At 35.1% G+C, this 17,897-nt stretch overlaps 1 protein-coding gene across 11 annotated transcripts in view; it reads right to left on the reverse strand.

Annotated features, from left to right (window-relative positions):
* The window catches only part of MGAT4C (MGAT4 family member C), an 883,334-nt gene that overhangs the window by 281,705 nt on the left and 583,732 nt on the right, over window positions 1-17,897 (reverse strand). The gene's annotated exons all lie outside the window — the stretch shown is intronic.

Here is a 17,897-nt window from a genome sequence, read left to right on the forward strand (position 1 = left end):
TGTAAGTGTTCAACACAGTACCGAGCATGCTTTAAACATCACTTGAATATTAGCTATAATAAAATAAAAATTATTATTTACAATATTAGACATACAATACAGCCATAATAAAATTATAAGCAAGATCTTATTCATAAAACTTTTTAAAATTGTCTATTAAAATCTTTTATTTAATCAGGCTCAAAGAGCAGACCAAAACCATTGCTTCTATAGGTTCAATTTCTTTCCTTTATTCATATCTCTATGGAAATTAAGCAGAGAGATAATGTCATACAGATGAATATTAGGAGATAAATTTGTGTTGCTGTAAGTTCTTTGAAGCTCACAGTCTACTTGCAATAAAGTTTTCTGAAAATGTGAATCACAGATACGACATTAGGGACGATAGAAAACAAGAGACCAACAAGAAAACATGAAAAAGTGACACAGTGTAATTAACTGTAACAGTTAATTCATAGATAATTTTATCTTGCGATCTTGAAGGAAAATAATAACTAAAGTCTACCCAAATTTTCTTCGTTCATAATCTGTGGTCTTGGCCTCTTGCACAAATAAGCATAAAATATCCACACTGGGGTTGTAGAGTCATTTGAAATACATGGCATTATTTTTGAAAAATTTGGATAGACTTTAGTTATCATTTACTGTGAAGTCAATACATAGCCATCAATAAGTATAATAAGTGAGTTTGTTTAGTCATTTCCCTTTACTTTTTGATAACCTGTGTGAACCTAAAATAAAATTAGGAAGTCAAAAAAAATGCATTAGTGGCTTTTGTTCTCCAGTGGAGTCACTATTAAGGGGTATGTAAATCCTTCATGTTAGAGTAGACAAAGCTCATCTTCTGTCAGTACATTGCATAGTCAAGTAATACAAAAGACTGAACACGTGGAAGATGCTTTGAGCTCTTTGCAAAGAATAATCCATGATAAAAATAATTTACTTGTCTTGCATGTTACCATATTTTATTTTAATCATTTTCATAATTTTCTTATACTATCTGATGTTTTCTAATACAATCATCAAGTTTACAAAATCATAAAAAAATCATTACAGTACAAATGTAGGCACATGCATTATCAGTCATAAGGTTTATTTGAATTCAGCTTACATGGTTTCAGGGTTAGCAGTTACAAAGCTGTTAGCTGAAGGGGAAGCTCTAATGTACTGGAAAACTTGGACAACACAGATATAGCTTCATAGTAGATCTAAATTTGTATTGTATGCCATCTTCAAATTGTTGAGCCTTTTTACTCAATAATCAATATTTCATCCAGCACAATAATAAAATATAGAATTATTTATGGTTATAATTAAGATGTACTTTTTCAGTCACAAGAGAATGAAAAAGTTACTGGAGAGGTGATGTGATTTAATGAAAAGGCCATTGAATAAGCAGCTAAGGCTCTCAAATGAGACAATGAATGTGAAAGCCTTTGAAGAAAGATAAAGTATTATGCAAACTCATAGTATTAATATTAAAAGCCTAAAGTGTTCATTTCTAGTAGACCTCATGGGTTTTTTGGCTGTCTATCAGAATCACATTAAAAAGTATTCTATAAAAACAGTAATATTTGGTACCATATGAAAATCTAAGACTCATGTTTTAACATCAAACTTGGAATTTTCTCCTTTTATGATATTAAAGGGTGACCCTTAAGATCCGTTCTGCAAAAAATATTTTAACTTTTTTTTTATAGTGGCATTCGGCGAGTGTTCTTGTCTTTTACTTTTAGGAAATGTGTAATAGCAACTGCATTATTAAAACTAGGTATATTCCAAAAAGGTTGTCAGAGACCATGACACACTTGGATTCAATCTCAGTGGAGTAACTGCAAGTAATTGTCCCAAAGTCATCACTTTTGGATGTCTCAATGAATCTGGCTTTGATAACATGAAAATTTTTATTTAGGAAAGCTCGTGGAGGAAGGAACATGACTACTTTTGCTGTAAAATGCCAAATTACACAGAAATTTAATTTAAGGTTTAAATTAAATTTAAGAAAGCCTTAAATTAATTTAAGAAGCCACAGCCATCTCTCTCTCTCTCTCTGTCTACTTCAGCTGACGCATAAATGTGTTTCAAAGAAGCATGCTTTACAATTAAAATTAATATCAATTAAAATTAATATGTATTCATTTCATATCCTTTCAGATATCTTTTCCAAGTGAAGTTCAAAAATCTTCATAAAACAATCCCATTAATCCTTGGAGCATTCTTATGTGGAAAGTAGGAAGAGAAATGTTATTCATCCTTTTATAAAGTTTGAAAAATAAAGTATAAAGGATTTTAGGTAAGCTATAACAATTAAGTCAGTGGGAGATCCAGACATACAACAAAGGTTTTATAATTCTTTTTCTTTTACTTTACTCTAATAATGGCATTTTTAATGCTTTTACTTTTCTTTATTGATTAAAAGATCTTATCCCTCTCTTCTCAGTGGAACATGTGCTCCTGGAAGAAAGGAGACATAAAAGGGGAATATCACACTCTGGGGACTGTGGTGGGGTCGGGGGAGGGGGGAGGGATAGCATTGGGAGATATACCTAATGCTAGATGACACGTTAGTGGGTGCAGCGCACCAGCATGGCACATGTATACATATGTAACTAACCTGCACAATGTGCACACGTACCCTAAAACTTAGAGTATAATAAAAAAAAAAAATAAAAAATAAAATAAAATAAAATAAAATTATATCTCTAATGCCTATTCTAATGTGCAGAAAGCAATTAATAAATATATTTGAAATTGAATTAAATCAAATGTGCTTTGTTTTTCATTTCAAAAGCACACACACACACATACACACACATATATATGATATATATCATATATATATATGTGTATTTTGTTTTTATTCAAACATCGCAAAAGAGTTACACAGTGAAAAGCAGGTATCTCTCCTCTCTAGATATATATGCCCTGATCCAGAGGCAAATGTCTATCACTTTTTTATATCCAATCTATCTTTCTATATAATTTAATGTAAATTAATGAACATGTGTGTCTTTGTGTTTCTATTTATTTTTGAACAACTGGGAGCAAAATGAATATACTGTTCTACATTTGTGGGTTTTTAACAACAATATTTATTGGATAACTTTTAAAATAAACTCTTCATTTGGAAATAATTTTAAATTTACCACAAAGTAGCAAAAATTAAAAAAAATGAGGAACATTCATCTACTTTTAACCAAAATTCAGATTCTGCTCTTATGAATATTTTATGTTATTGTTTAATCATTTGTTTAATCCTTTTATTTGTCCCTCCAGCCCCTCCCCTGACTCTCTTTCCAAAATCATTTGAGGGAAGTTGCATACATCATGGTCTTTTACTCCTAAATATTTGTATTTTTATTGCCTAGAATAACTCTTTCATCTTATATTACCACATTAAAATTATCAACATATTTAATATTGATATGATAATTTTAAATAATACATGGCTGCATATCAACGTTGCCTGTTGAAATGTTTGCCTTTTCACCCCTTCAGTATGGGACCAAGTCTAGAATTAGGTGTTGCATTTAGTTATTTCTTTTGAGCTTTTTTTAACCTGAATTATATCAGAGCCTTTCTTTGTCTTTAATGTCATGGATAATTTTGAAGAATACAATCTCCCCACTCTCACAGAATATTCCTCACCTTCAGTTTGTCTGACGTTCATGATTAGTTTTAAATTATGCATTCCAGGCAAAAAAATAATACACAGGTGATTTTGTTATCTGGGAAACAAATCTGGGGGTACATAATATCCATCTGTCCCTCACTGATAATGTTAATTTAAAAAATGCAATTAACTATTTTCTGGTTTTCCACAGTAATGATTATTTTTGTTCTTCCTTGAAACTAATAGGAAGTCCTTGGAAAGTCACTTTATGACTATACATGTATCATGCCCCACAATAAAATTAGTCCCTGGATTTAGCATCCATTGGTGATTCTTTTCTCATCCCATCTTTACTACTACGGAAGCAAAACGACAATTTTCCAAGTATCTCTCCCTCTAACATTTCCAACTGGCTGTCTGAATTCTAATGTAAAAAAGGATCATCTCTTTTCCCCTAATTACTAACTCTTTATTATTATTACGGGCTCATAAATTTTATTTTGTTTCATAGCTTATAATTTGATACCTCATTATTTTGTTTGATAGCTTGTAATTCATTACTGCTCCAAATTGTTTGGGTTCTGACATTTTTGTAGATTGGGTCATGACACCATTCTTGAAAGTCTAGAAGGAGCAGAGTGGTCTCGCCTAAGAGGAAAAAGATCGCTTAGATCAGTAGAGAGTGTATTAGCAGCAGTTGATTGCAGGCTGGCCTCAGATACTAGACCTGTTTGACTGCTTTATGTGGGAAAGCACTTTATAAAGTGCCTCCTAAAATGCAATGTAACTTCTTCCAACCTTCACTTCAGGTGGTTAACCATGTGTCAAAAGGCCTGGTCTGACAATGCTGACAAGCCTTTAGCTTCATACTCACTACCTGTCTGACTTGGCCCAATAAGCCACTCTTCCTGAGCCTTGCCTGAGCCTGCTTTGCCAATCCAGCTCTCAAATCATCTGAGACTAGGGGAGGGGGGGAAATTGAGAAAATACCACTGTATTTACCTTTGGTGGCCTCCCAGTGTCTCAGAAGTTATCCACACTCTACTGGCAACCTCCATCTTTTCACTATACAATCACACTGCCCAGTTGCCTCCCTTTGCTGGGGACCTTCACATGGCTGAGGTTCTAGGAAAATATTTAAGGGCTTTGGAGTGAGATTTAAATTCTGCCTAGGGCCTCAACCTCAAGTAGAACAAGTTCCCTTTTATGCAGTTAACAGGCAGACATTGATTATAGAGCTGCACCCATTCAGTCTAACTCCAGAGAACGCGTTACAAAAAATCTCCATTTGCAGGATCCTGCAATGCAAAGGTGTGTAAGACATTCCCCTTCAGCTCACTCGCCACGAAGCTGGATTTGGTAAACATAGATACTGCCTCAGGTTCAATCTATCTTTCCCTTGAATCTGCATCATTTCATTTATTTAAATGACCTCTCAGATTCCTTTATTTTGATACTTTGTCCATGTGAATAGGCACGGACCCTTAAACAAGTATCTTTTTTGCTATTTCTTCTATTGAATATTTCACATGTAATGACTCCTTTTTAAATCCTGTACTTTCTGTTTATCAGGACACATTGACTTTGGACTAAAGTTTCAAGAGCCTTTACCGATTTTATGATTTTATTTGATTGTCCGGGGAAGTACTTTAGAGTAGAAAAAATAGGGTCTTTAAAGGCAAATAGAAAGAATAAAAGAGAGGGAAAAATGGAGGAAGGGGGTGGCTGAAAACCTAGCTGTCCCATCCAACCTTACCTTTATACAATGGCATGCATAAGGCACCAATCCCCCACTCCCCACCACATATATATACACACACATGTACACATACAACACACACCTCCCAGCTCCCTATGGGCTCTAATGGCTCTTCAGAACTTTCAGCGATGCAAGTTAAGGGAACTGACTCTAGCTACTAACAGAGCCCAGGAACAAGACACCTTTTAGATATTTTGCTTTTTTAAGCAGATTAACATTAAGGTGGCCCCAAGTGATAAAATCTGCAATGTGACTCTTGACTTTCCTCTTCTTCAATAATGGGTTGAAAATAGGGGTTTCTAACCCAACATGTACTCTTTCCAAATTGTCTAATTAGTGGCAAACACTGCAGCCATTTCTCCAGGTCTCCAAACTCAAAATGAGTACATGAGGGTACAGTTTCTTTTTGAGCTCACAGGGTAGGCATCTGGCCATCTCATCTGGCTCCAATAATCAATTTTTCTTGGTTACTGACAAATTTTTCTCAATCAAAATTATTCTTGTTGGGTGAGCTCTGCTACTTGCAAACTTAGGGAAATTAATAAAATATATCTAACAAATGATTTGGCAGTGGCAGCTGACAGTCACTTAGAGGTCTCTGAGAATGTTCTGTGATTGTTCCCTGTGGTAGACACACCCTGAGGTGACCCTCAATGATTCACATTCTTGTCTTATTCCCTCCCCTTGAGTGTGGGCAGAACCTGTGACTTACAGCCAATAGAATAAGGCAAAGGTGATGGGTCGCTCCCATGATTTTATTAGACTATGTAAGATTCCATTTTAGCAGACTTAAACAAGAGATTCTCCTGCTGGCTTTGAAGAAGTAAGCTTCACTTTTATGAAAAGCCCATGAAAGAGCCTCCTGGCAAGGAACTAAGGCGGCCTATAGATTCTGAGGGTGGTATCCTACTGATGGCCATCAGGAAAACAGGGACTTCCATCCTACAGCTGCAAGAAACAGAATTCTGCCAAAAACTACCTGGGTCTGAAAACGAACCCTGAACTCCAGAGAGAAAAAAAGGTTAGTAGACACCTCTATTGCAGCCTCCAGAGACCCATGAATAAAAGACCTATCCAAGCTGTGTCCATATCACTGGCCCAATGAAACTGCAAGATAATAAATGTCTATTGCTTTAAGCATCTAAATTTGTGGTAACTTGTTACACAGCAATATAAAACAAATACATTTTTCATGCAGTGAGAAGAGTCCAGGAGGAGAAAAGACTGGCCATATTCAGCCTGCCCCTGTGACTTCTAAGGCTATGCTGCTGCTGGTGGTGTTTGTCATTTTTCTCACTAAGGTAAAAAAGTGAATTAAGATGAAAGAAATGCAAGAGAAATGCTTATAAATACTAAGAACAGCAGCATCTTGCCTAGGTCATGCCTACGCCTACACGCACATAAGCAACACACATCCTGTACTTTCTAGAATGCTTTGCACTGTTTAATGATGCTGGGCGGTCATTTGCTGACTACCCTCCAGGCATGTTTTTACCAATTAGATTAGGAAAGATGGTGACTGCCACAGCAGCTCGAGGGCTGTGTCAGAAACTCTCAGGATGTAAGTTGTTTTACCAACACCATTGGGGCAGGAGACAGACAGGGATTAGTGAAGGGGTGGGTTTCATTGCCTCCTTCTAAAAGTAGCTTTATCTCTCACCTCAGACCTTCTAGTTCTGGCTCTACCACTAAGTTCTAATAGAGCTCCCCAAATTAAACTCTAATAGAGAAATCCTTTCAGATTATGGCTCCCTAAAGGGATCTAAGTCTGGGGTCTCTCATCATACATTCATTTAATCAGCATTTAATGAGCTTCTACTCTGCGCTAGCACTGCTGATACAGCAATGGATACAACTTATAAAATCCCAAAACACATAAAGCCTAGAGGCTAATGGGGGACACAGAGAAGGCAATGGTCAATTTAAATACATTACAGGGAAAGTGAAAATGCTCTATGAGCACAAAAGAGGGACACCTCACTCATCAAAGAGGTTCTAGGAAGAAACCCCAAACACCACCAGTAACGATGAAAAGGAATTGACATAGCAGAGTTCTTCAAACAGAAAGAACATGTGCCAATGCCCAGAGGTGAGTTTCAGGAGCAGCAGAACTGAAGCATAGGGTTTATGGGTGAGTAATAATAATTATAAGGGACAGCATTTATCCAGCATGTACTGTGTCAGTGCAGTATTAAGTGGGTGGTATGCATTATCTCATTTGATCCTCACTTCATCCCACTGATGAGGCAACTGGGGCACAGAGAAGTTAAATTCTCTGCTCATAGTCACAACACTGGTTAAGTGGGAAGCCAGGAATTAATGCCTAGCCAACTGACTCCTAAGCCCACACTATAATGGCCCACTCTAAACTAAAAAAAATACACCAAATGGTGAGATCAGCCATCTACCCTTCACTAATAGAAACACCAACTCATCCTATGGGTAGAAATCCACCAAGGTTCTACAACTCCCTGATCTCAGACACTCCGTCCAGCCCTCGAGTTCTCTTGCCAAAAACAGAGAGGAGCAATTAGGTCTCCTCCAGTTACTGGGTCCCAGGTTAGCATGCCAGGTTTCTAGATTAAGGTTCTGCCCTTCTAGGCTTCCTGGAAACTACAATCTTGTCTCTGAGTTCAGTCTTCTTGCCTAGATTCCTCCTATCAGACATCAGACACCATGTTCTGCCTCCTTTTTTGAACTTCGTTATATTTTGGCCCCATGGGCATCCTCAAATTGTTTTTGGGTCTCTGTGCTTCTGTCTGGTTTCTAGGGTCTAGTCATCTTCAGTTTAGCCCGAATACAAGAGATTTCTGAGTGAGTATCTTTGTCACATAGAGGTGGCTGTGATGTTTCCTAGGCATAGTATTGTGCCCAACTGTTCCAGTTTCAAAACCCCCCTTTTGATCTCAATTTCTCTGAAGCCATGGTGCATCCCAGTCCTCCTTCCATGTTAGCTCCTAGGGTTAGTACTCAAATCCTGTTACTTTGTTTTTCAAACTATTTTGGAAAGAGGTAGAATATAATTTTCCTCCTCTTTAGATTATTCAAAAATATCTTGCCCTCTTCTACAACAAGAACAAATTAATTAAAGTGATTTTTTTCTAAGTAAATCAAAAATTTCTTGAGAATAAATCTATAATCATCATAGAGCTACCAGAATAAATAGCTCAATGTGTAGCCAAATTTTAAAACAAAAGTTTACACCATTATACAGTTTTACATATTTAAATTAAAATAATTTGTATATACATACACATTAATTGTACATTCATATTTATATATTAGAGTGTAGTAGTATTTTCCAATCCAACCGATTTTTAAGCTGTGTCTAAAATATACCTTTCTCTCTTTTGGTTTCAGTTAATTTCTCCAATGTCTTAGAGTTTAAGAGCTCTTCTATTTAGCAGGCCATGAATATCTCCTAGTGTACCATTGCTTTTTTTTTTTTTTTTTTTTTTTTGAGACAGAGTCTCGCTCAGTTGCCAAGGCTGGAGCGCAGTGGCTTGATCTCCGCTCACTGCAAGCTCCGCCTCCTGGGTTCACGCCATTCTCCTGCCTCAGCCTCCGGAGTAGCTGGGACTACAGGCGCCCGTCAACCATTGCTTCTTAGAGTATCCTGCAACCTTCTAGAGAGTCTAGGTCTTCATTCCAGAAGGTTTCTTTGTTTATTTGCCTACACACTCATGAACAGTTTACCATCTATAAACATGCTTATAAATGGCTACTGAAAGAGTCATTTTAAAAGAATAAATTAACTGCTGAGTAAATGACTCCCACAATTTTCTATATTTTTGGATATATTGCTATCTTTTGTTCTAACTGTGCTTGAAATTTTTAAACGTAGCTATATGTTCTATAAACACTTTATTTATTATAAATACGTTTTGTACAAGTTATGAAGGCCAATTTACAAAGGTAAATGTTACTTAATAATTCATATATCTGCCCACCAAATCAACTTTTTCCATTCCTGAAAGGGTTATTATTTGACAGTTCTGACCAGCAAGTCTTTATTCCTTTTCTGTTGTAAATTGCTTGAACATGACTTCAACTCCTAAGTATCAATTTCCTGCTGGACTCCTTGCTATCTAATATCTCAAACTACTTTCTTTAAGGCCACCAGTGACCTTCCCTGCAATTTAAAGTGCAATTTTCTTTGTTCTATATTTTGAGACTTTCTGCACCCTTTCATATGATGGGACATCACATTCTCAATTACATTCTTTCTAGTTTTAGTAGCATCAGTTATACCCTGGTACAAGTTTTGTACAAACACACTCACATACACAGTTTCTATGATGAGTCTGTATCTCTTCATATCCTTCAACTATCTGTGTGTTACAAATGACCATTAGGATACAATATTTTTTATTATTCTGTGCATAACTCAAAATGCACAATCTGTTCTCTTACTTAAATACTTATATAATTAGTTATAGGGTTACACACATATTAGTGGGAAGGAGGCTGCAGATATGGGCATGCATTTTATTTATGCTCTAAGAAAGTCCACTCAAATTTTATTTCTATGATTAACATTCAGTAGCATCTCAGTACTTTGTTGTTCCCAGGTGTAAATACACTTTTTGCAATCTTCTGTTTACTCACACCATTTATTCACTTGACCATATATATCTAGCTGATTTCCTTACTCCAGACACTGGAGGTTCAGTGCTGATTCAGAGTAGACTCTGGCCATTACTTTCATAAAGATTACAGTCTCGTGGGAAGACTGGCATTAACAATTTAATCAACCAAGAAAGCCTACAATGGAAACTTTTGAAAGTGTTAAATACTGTGTTAAGAACCTGTAATAGGGATATCTGGCCTCATCAGGAAGGTCAAGGAGGAATTCCTTAAGGCTGTGCTTCTTTAACTGAGAATTGAATAATAAATTTGAAGTAAACATGTGGAAAAGGTTCAGAGGAACCTGCTAGCCAGACAGAATGGCATAAACTAAGGCTCAGTGGTGGAACTGAAGAAGAAATTGTAAGAGAGATGAAAAGAAAGTAAATGTTGCTGGAACACACAGACCATCATGCTGGGCCTTATGAAGCATACTAGTTTTGTTATTATCCTGTACGTAATGGAAGGCCACTGAAGAGTTTTAGGTCACAAGGGAATGGAAGGAAGATTATGGGGAAGAGGGGAAAGGAGTGTCATGTTCAGATTTGTATTTCCTGCATAGAGGTTTCAGAGGATTTTCTACCCTCAGCACCATCTTTTCCTTCCTGATCTGAAGTTTTAATAGTCTAGATGTAGTTATCCTCCTTATTCAAAGGCTCTTTGATTCTGAGTCTCCTTTGTTTGTTCTTCCTCCTCTTCACCACTTTTAAATAGAGGAATTTCCTAAGGCTTCTTGATAACCAATACCTACATGTCTTATTTGCTCTTTAGTGGACATCTCAAGCATAGCATGTCTAAAGTACACAAAGAAAGAACCTAGTTTCTCTTCCTTCCTTCCTTCCTTCCTTCCTTCCTTCCTTCCTTCCTTCCTTCCTTCCTTCTCTCAGGCAGCCAGACATTCATTCAGCAAACTTCTGCAGAGCACTTTGCTAGGCCATAGGTATTCAGAAAAGAATTAGGGAGAATCTTTGACCTCAAGAGAGTAAAATACCCTCTATGATTTGTGACTACAACCCTGTCTGTGGATTTTTTTTTGTTCTTTCCCCCAAATATTTACCTTTCTATATCTCCACCTCCCTAATGCCCCTCAGTTTATCCTATTTTCTACCCTCAGAACCATGTTCTCTTTCTCATGCCAAAGTTATCACTTGCACGCTCTTATGCAAGAATGCTCTGAGAGTTAATATTAAAGATACAGGCAAGTGAGAAGCGGTTCCCTTCCAAGTAGATAGGCAATTGTCTTGCCTCTTCTGTCATGCCTTTTCTGTCCTATTGCCTGTTGTGCTCTGCTATGACACACATTTTCTTGATACACCACCACCACCATCCTTATGTAACTTCGCCACCTATCAGAATGCCTATAACATTGTAGATGGGAGCGGTCATACATAAAGCCTAATTCTCTTTGGATACCATCTAAATATATCGGAATCTCACCATGATGAAATAAGTGAATAAACTTAGAATAAATTTCTGGGAGACAGCCTAAGAGACAGCTGTGAAACTAGCTAGTGTTATGCTCTGTTCCCATGCTGAGCACCTCTTTCCATCTTCCCCCATTATTTATTTGTGTTCACTGTAAATCACATGCCACTTGAGAAAATTTTACACCAAGAAAAGAATGACACAATGCTTATTGTTTTCTTTTAAAATAATTATTTAATATATAACTTTTATATAATGTTGTTCAGATAATTTAAAAAATAAGTGCAATGAACTGAGTTATTCTATAAGAAGGGGAGTTCCTTTCCCTGGATTTTCCCACTGACCCCAGCCCAATAGTAAAGCATTTTGTCATTCAGCATCATACACTTCCTATCCCTAGTTCATGTTTGCTCAAGTTCATAAATAGTGAATAAATACTGACTTCAGAAACTCTTTCCCAAACTCTGGTATTCCTCTCAATTATGTCATGTGTGACCCACCTTTCTATTCTTGAGTAATTAATCACCCCATCCAACATTATCCATTATTTAAAATAACTTAATAGATTGATATACCTAGTAAAGTTAGCGGAAATTAATGAAGTAGAATGTGTTGACCATTCCTGTTCCTTTGATGTGTCAGACTGCTTTAAATGGTGCCAAATAATCCTGCTTCTTACCTCTTTTAGGAAGCATTCCTCATTTTCTCAAAACCACAGTGATCCATCTCATCACAGCCCTTCTAGAGTATTTAAAATTTGAATAACCTAATTTAAACATCCAGCCAAGGATTAAAGTTATGCAGTTATGACAGTTGTCCTTACTGGTTATTTACAATTAGAATCTGTTCTGATACCTTGGTGCAAATTTTTAGCTCTCCCTCACTCCTGCCTTTGCTTATGATAAGCAACTTGACCTTAACTGAACACACTGTGCTTTCTCTTCTCATTTTGACTTTGTTCTTAATGAGGTCCCTCTATCTGAAATATCCTTTGCCCACCTGTACCTGAAAAAGTCTCTAATTTTCCAAAACTCAGCTAAGTGACAGCTTATTTTTAAAGATTTTCCAGATTTTTACACATAGAATAAATCACTCCTTGTGGGTGTCCCCTGAGCACTCTGTGCATATCTCTAATGTAAAACTTATCACAATGGATTGTAATTATTTATTTCCAACTTTGTGTTGGTCACTAGACCATGAACCCCTGGAGAGCAGTGGTGGTGCTCTGTTCACTGCTGGCATGCCATAAGTGCTCAGTAGTTGAGTGGCTGAGCTTTAAATAATTTGTAGAATGAGTCAGAGCACTTAAAAGTGAAGGGAAAATACCTTAGTGGAATGAATAGATTTTTAGAAAATGTTTTACACATTCATTAATGCCTTGATTCTACAAGATTATAAACAGTGGGGAAGAATAACCTAATTTAAACATTACATTTTTTATCCTTTTCTATTTGTATCTCTCTTGAGGTAGTATTAAGTACATGTTAGATGCTTCATTAAAACAAAACAAACAAGCAACCTACACACACACACACTGAGAGAGAGAGAGAGAGAGAGAGAGAGAGAGAGAGAGAGAGATTTTTAAAATAAAAACATACTTTGCCTCTAATGACTATGTTAAGAATACAGAACGTCATGAGTAAAGAAGAACTGAAAAACTTTAACTCAATTCTATCACCACTTCATCACCAATATGAGACAATGGACTGTTGAAAAGCAGAGACTGTTGGTCTCTACATATATCAGACAAATAAAACTTTCATAACTCCAGGTTTGAAACTCTCATTGACTTATGAAAAATCATAGAATAAAAAGTAGCAAAGTAAAACAGAGTAAAAGATAAAAGGTAAAGCTATAAGACTTTCTATTTTATTACGTACTTAGATTTGTATGTATATGATATCCCATATTATATCATTTTAGATTTGAGAAAAGTTCCTAAAAGTTATTTAATTCATTTTTTATCTTACAATAGTTAAAATTAAAACATCAGAAGTTTTATATGCAGTAAATGATTAACCCGTGTTTACCAACAAAATCTACAATCAGCATCTAGTTTCAAAAGTAATTAGTATGATTGGTTCCCAAAATTGTGTTTGTACTATACCAGAGTTTTCATGTTAGTGAATAGCAATTTTTAATGAAACTCCTGAATGAATTAAAAGACACAGACACATAATACTAAGCAAGTCAGTAACAATGAAAACAATGAAAATACTAAAGAGAGGCAATAGTAATTGAACATTTACTATATGCAAGGCACTGTTCTCCATGCTTATAAGATTAGTTCATGAAATTTTCACAACAAACTTACGAGGTAGGTACTTTTATTTCCCGTTTTTTTTTTTTTTTTTTATTATGAAGGCATGAAGACTGAAAAGGGTGGAACAACAAATTGTATTCCGGTAGTCTGGTCCCAGACTTTTAAAAATATTAAAAGTCAACATTTAAAACCCAAATGTAACATAAAAATCTATTTTAGATTAAAACATACCTGAGAACTTAGAGACACACAGAAGCACAAGAAATGCAAATGAATGTATCCTTTAACTTATGTTTCCTATTTCCCATAAAGTTTTTGGTTTTAATTAGACACACCTGGTCCCAGACTACCTGAATACAATTTGCACGCACTTATTGCATATTCTTACATGCAACAAGTGCACGCAAACAAAAAAGAAAGTGTCTTTAAAAGCATCTGCTCTTTTCTTGCTCTGCTGAGAAAAAGTGTTTTCTAGCATGATCATAGCCTCTTCTGTACTTCAAATGGAGAAAAGTTGCTGGAACTTAACTTTACACCTTGCCTCTCATCACAGCAAATTGTGTCATTTTCTTCCCCATATTATTGGTTTCACTCAGCTCCATATTTTATCTGACTGACTGCAGCACAAATATGTATACTCAGTTTTAGGCAAAATGCATTTTCCACATTGACCCAAATGTTAGGAGATACCCTTGAGAGTTTTATGGTGTGCCATGGCACACAGGTAGAGAGCCACTTACTTGTGAAAATTTACCTAGACAACCTTTATGATATGCTCAGTTCCATGCCACTGAGACCAGTATCAAACACTGAACAACAAATTCTCTGCTTTTAGCAGAATTTAGCATTAAAAAGTACTGTTGTCCATTTATATTTTCTCATCAAAAACACTATTAAAATTAATTCATGGATATAAGTTGTTAAAAATAGCTAAACCCAAGGCCCAGTACCTTTAGTGCTATTAAACATCTACTGCTTAATAGCTCTAGATTATTTTTTCATTTTATGCAGTTCGAATGTGAACAAGCTTCTCTGTCTCTAACTCTGAAAGAAGTGGAAAAGTCTTCATAATTTATTAACCCCTGAAAAGGGCACATTCGTTTGTCATAGCTTCAGAGGCAGAGAGAGAAAGCAGATAAAAAATCACATTCGTACTTTCAATTATTGAATTCTAATTTTACTGTCTTATTCTGCATACTTCAAATGGGCATTACTAAAGGGACTAAGTTCAGGGCTATTGTTTTATTATTATGCAATAGGACCACAGTAAAATATTTTGAGCCAAATCAAGTGTGTTCAGTTAACTTTTGTTGTACAATTTATATGTATGTCACTAGACAGATTCTTCAGTGGCTAATTAAATGATACTATCTAAAAACAATTTATCTTCAACTGATAGGTTCTACGTATGGATTGGTTTTCTCTGAGGAGGTTGTATTTTAGGCTTTTTATTTCTTTTAAATCACTGAGTATCTGTAAATAAGTTGAATAGCGAATAAATATCACTTTTTAGTGCCATTGTCCTAGGAACTAGCATTAGTAGCTACCAAGACAGTGAAAAAATTGGCCTTAAAAAGTAAATTGTCTCTAGTTTGCTTGTTCAAACACAAACTACTATCATTTGGGAGATATTAAGTTTTTAATTAAAATAAAAAAATTCTTCATTTTTTATTATTTTACTTATACTATAAAGAACCTTGTCCAAAGTCAAACAACTGTAAACTCGGCATACTATTACCAGCAAATAATTGATTGTAAAATAGACAATAAAAATAAAGCTAGCTTGCTTGAACATACATTATAAATACAAGATAACTTTGTCCAAAAATGATTGATACTGTTTTGATATCTACCACAAGCTATTTTATTCTTATAATATTTCAGTGACCACATTCAGAATCAAGTATGAGTTATAAAATAATTGATAGACTTTTCACAAAACCCAAATATAATGTAAAAATCTATTTTAGATTAAAACATACCTGAGAACTTAGAGACACACAGAAACACAAGAAATGCAAATGAATGTATCCTTTAACTTATGTTTCCTATTTCCCATAAAGTTTTTGGTTTTAATTAGCCACACCTTAAAATACATTCTACTTTTATAGTAAATTAAAGATGAGAGCTTTTCAGGTAGAAAAAAAATAATATGTGCAACAACAAGAATTTTTTTACATTGTTCAGTTATAAATGCCAAGTACCTAGAAGAGTGCCTGGCACGAAGTAGATACTCAAGAGAAGTGACTGATTAGATAACCGGCTGTATTAAGGGAGGGAGGGAGAGAGAAAGAGAAAGAAAGAAAGAAAGAGAAATTGATTGATTTGGGGCACTGAAATTTGTAAACCTGTTTCTGAGTCCTAGCTCCTCCATTTACTGACTTACTGACTGGGTGATCTTTGGCAACAAGTTACGAATTATTAGTCTCTGTTTCCTTAGTTGCATAATATCAATTACTTTATCACATATCAATTGTTAAGAATTAATTGTATATATACACAAGGTTGATAAAAAGATCTTTTAAACTTTAAAATGCATAAAAACATTACATTTATGTACCTAAAATATACACCTAAATATCCAGACATTCACACAATAAGTCCAAGCTGTCCAAAATGACATCATAGTTACTATATTTTTTGGCTTAAGTAAAAAGTTGGCCTGGAATGCCCAGAATTTCCCACTGTCAAGACAAGCATAGAATTCATGATCATTCAAGTGCTTGAACTGAGAAACTAAAAAACCAAGCAGTATTGTGCATTCAATCATTACATGAAACTAATAAAGGGGCTTACAATAAACTAAATTCTAGGAAAGTGTTAAAATATACAAAAGAGTATTATTTTGCAATAGGTAAAAACATAATTTGAGGAGTCATTTTCAAAAGAAAAAATATATCACCCCCAGCATATGGAGTATGCAGAGAACTTCAGAAGAGTTAATAAGTATCTTTTCATGGCTATTTTTTTCCATCTCTTCTTAATACTGGTTACATAAGTCAGACAAAGAACATATGTATTTAAAAGGAGGCAGAGAATAGGGCAGTACAAGTAACATCACACATCATTTATTTATGTCACCCTGTACTGGGAAGCCTTCCTAGGGACTTTGTGGCATAGGAAATTGCTATGATATCATTGATGTCCTCTCTTAAATTAAAAATAATAATAAAAAACTTTTTGTGAAATGAATGAAGTCCATTAGCTAGGTAGCTCATATCTCGTGTACTTGCGTTGTATAAAGTTGTCCAAAGGAAAAGAAGGAGATAAGCAATTTAACACTGCAGTCACCATCAATGTAGTGCATTTGTGACTAGCAAGGCTAATACTGAAAGAAGGAATCATACACAGAAAAAAATGCAATTTAAATGTCTAGATCATTCATTAGCTGAATAAGATTTTCTTCATTGTTGACAGAATGATATAAATAGATTTTTAAAGAATTAATTATTAGGAGACAAATGCTTTTCCCTTAGTTAAGTTTAATCACCTGTGAAAATGACACAGTCAGTACCACTGGGTTTTTCAACTTCACTATAGAGTACTTAGGGAAAGAAAAAAAATTCATTTCAAAGCAGTGACTCATGCTTTCAAGCTCATATTATCCAAAACTTTTAGATTTCACTTTAAATTTTGAAATTCACAGAATATACCAACTTAAATTTTTCTCAGCAAAAAATTGACTCTAGATGTATATTGGAAGCTTTTTGAGGTTTTGTTGATTACGTATTGTTGTGGCTGAGACATTAAGCTCACTTGTTTAGATTTAATTAATACACGTCTGACACTGTCTATAAACTTAGTTTTGTTCAGACCTGAATGGACTAAAGGAGACAATTCGAACAACAGTAATGTCTAGAGCTGCCAAACAGGACTGGGCTAGCAGAAGACACAGAGTGTGACATAGCTGAAAAACCCCTGCTGTCTTAAAGCTCAACTCGAGAATCTCCAAATCCTGAGTTTTAATTATCAAAATTACTAGTTTGCAAAGGCAGAAATATTCTATGTTAAAGGCACAGTAAAAATAAATCTAAAAAGCATAAGCACATCAACACTTGATGAACAAGCCATTATTCAAAAGTTTTATAACCCTAGGAGGAATGGAGATGCTATTAAAATAAAAGAGCACGTTAAACAAAATAACAATTAATTACACTTTTCTGTGGCTTTATTTCATAAATAACTGCATCCAACTTTAAAATAACAACAGT

Source organism: Homo sapiens, chromosome 12, assembly GCF_000001405.40.
Source record: "Homo sapiens chromosome 12, GRCh38.p14 Primary Assembly".
Taxonomy (NCBI): Eukaryota; Metazoa; Chordata; class Mammalia; order Primates; family Hominidae; genus Homo; species Homo sapiens.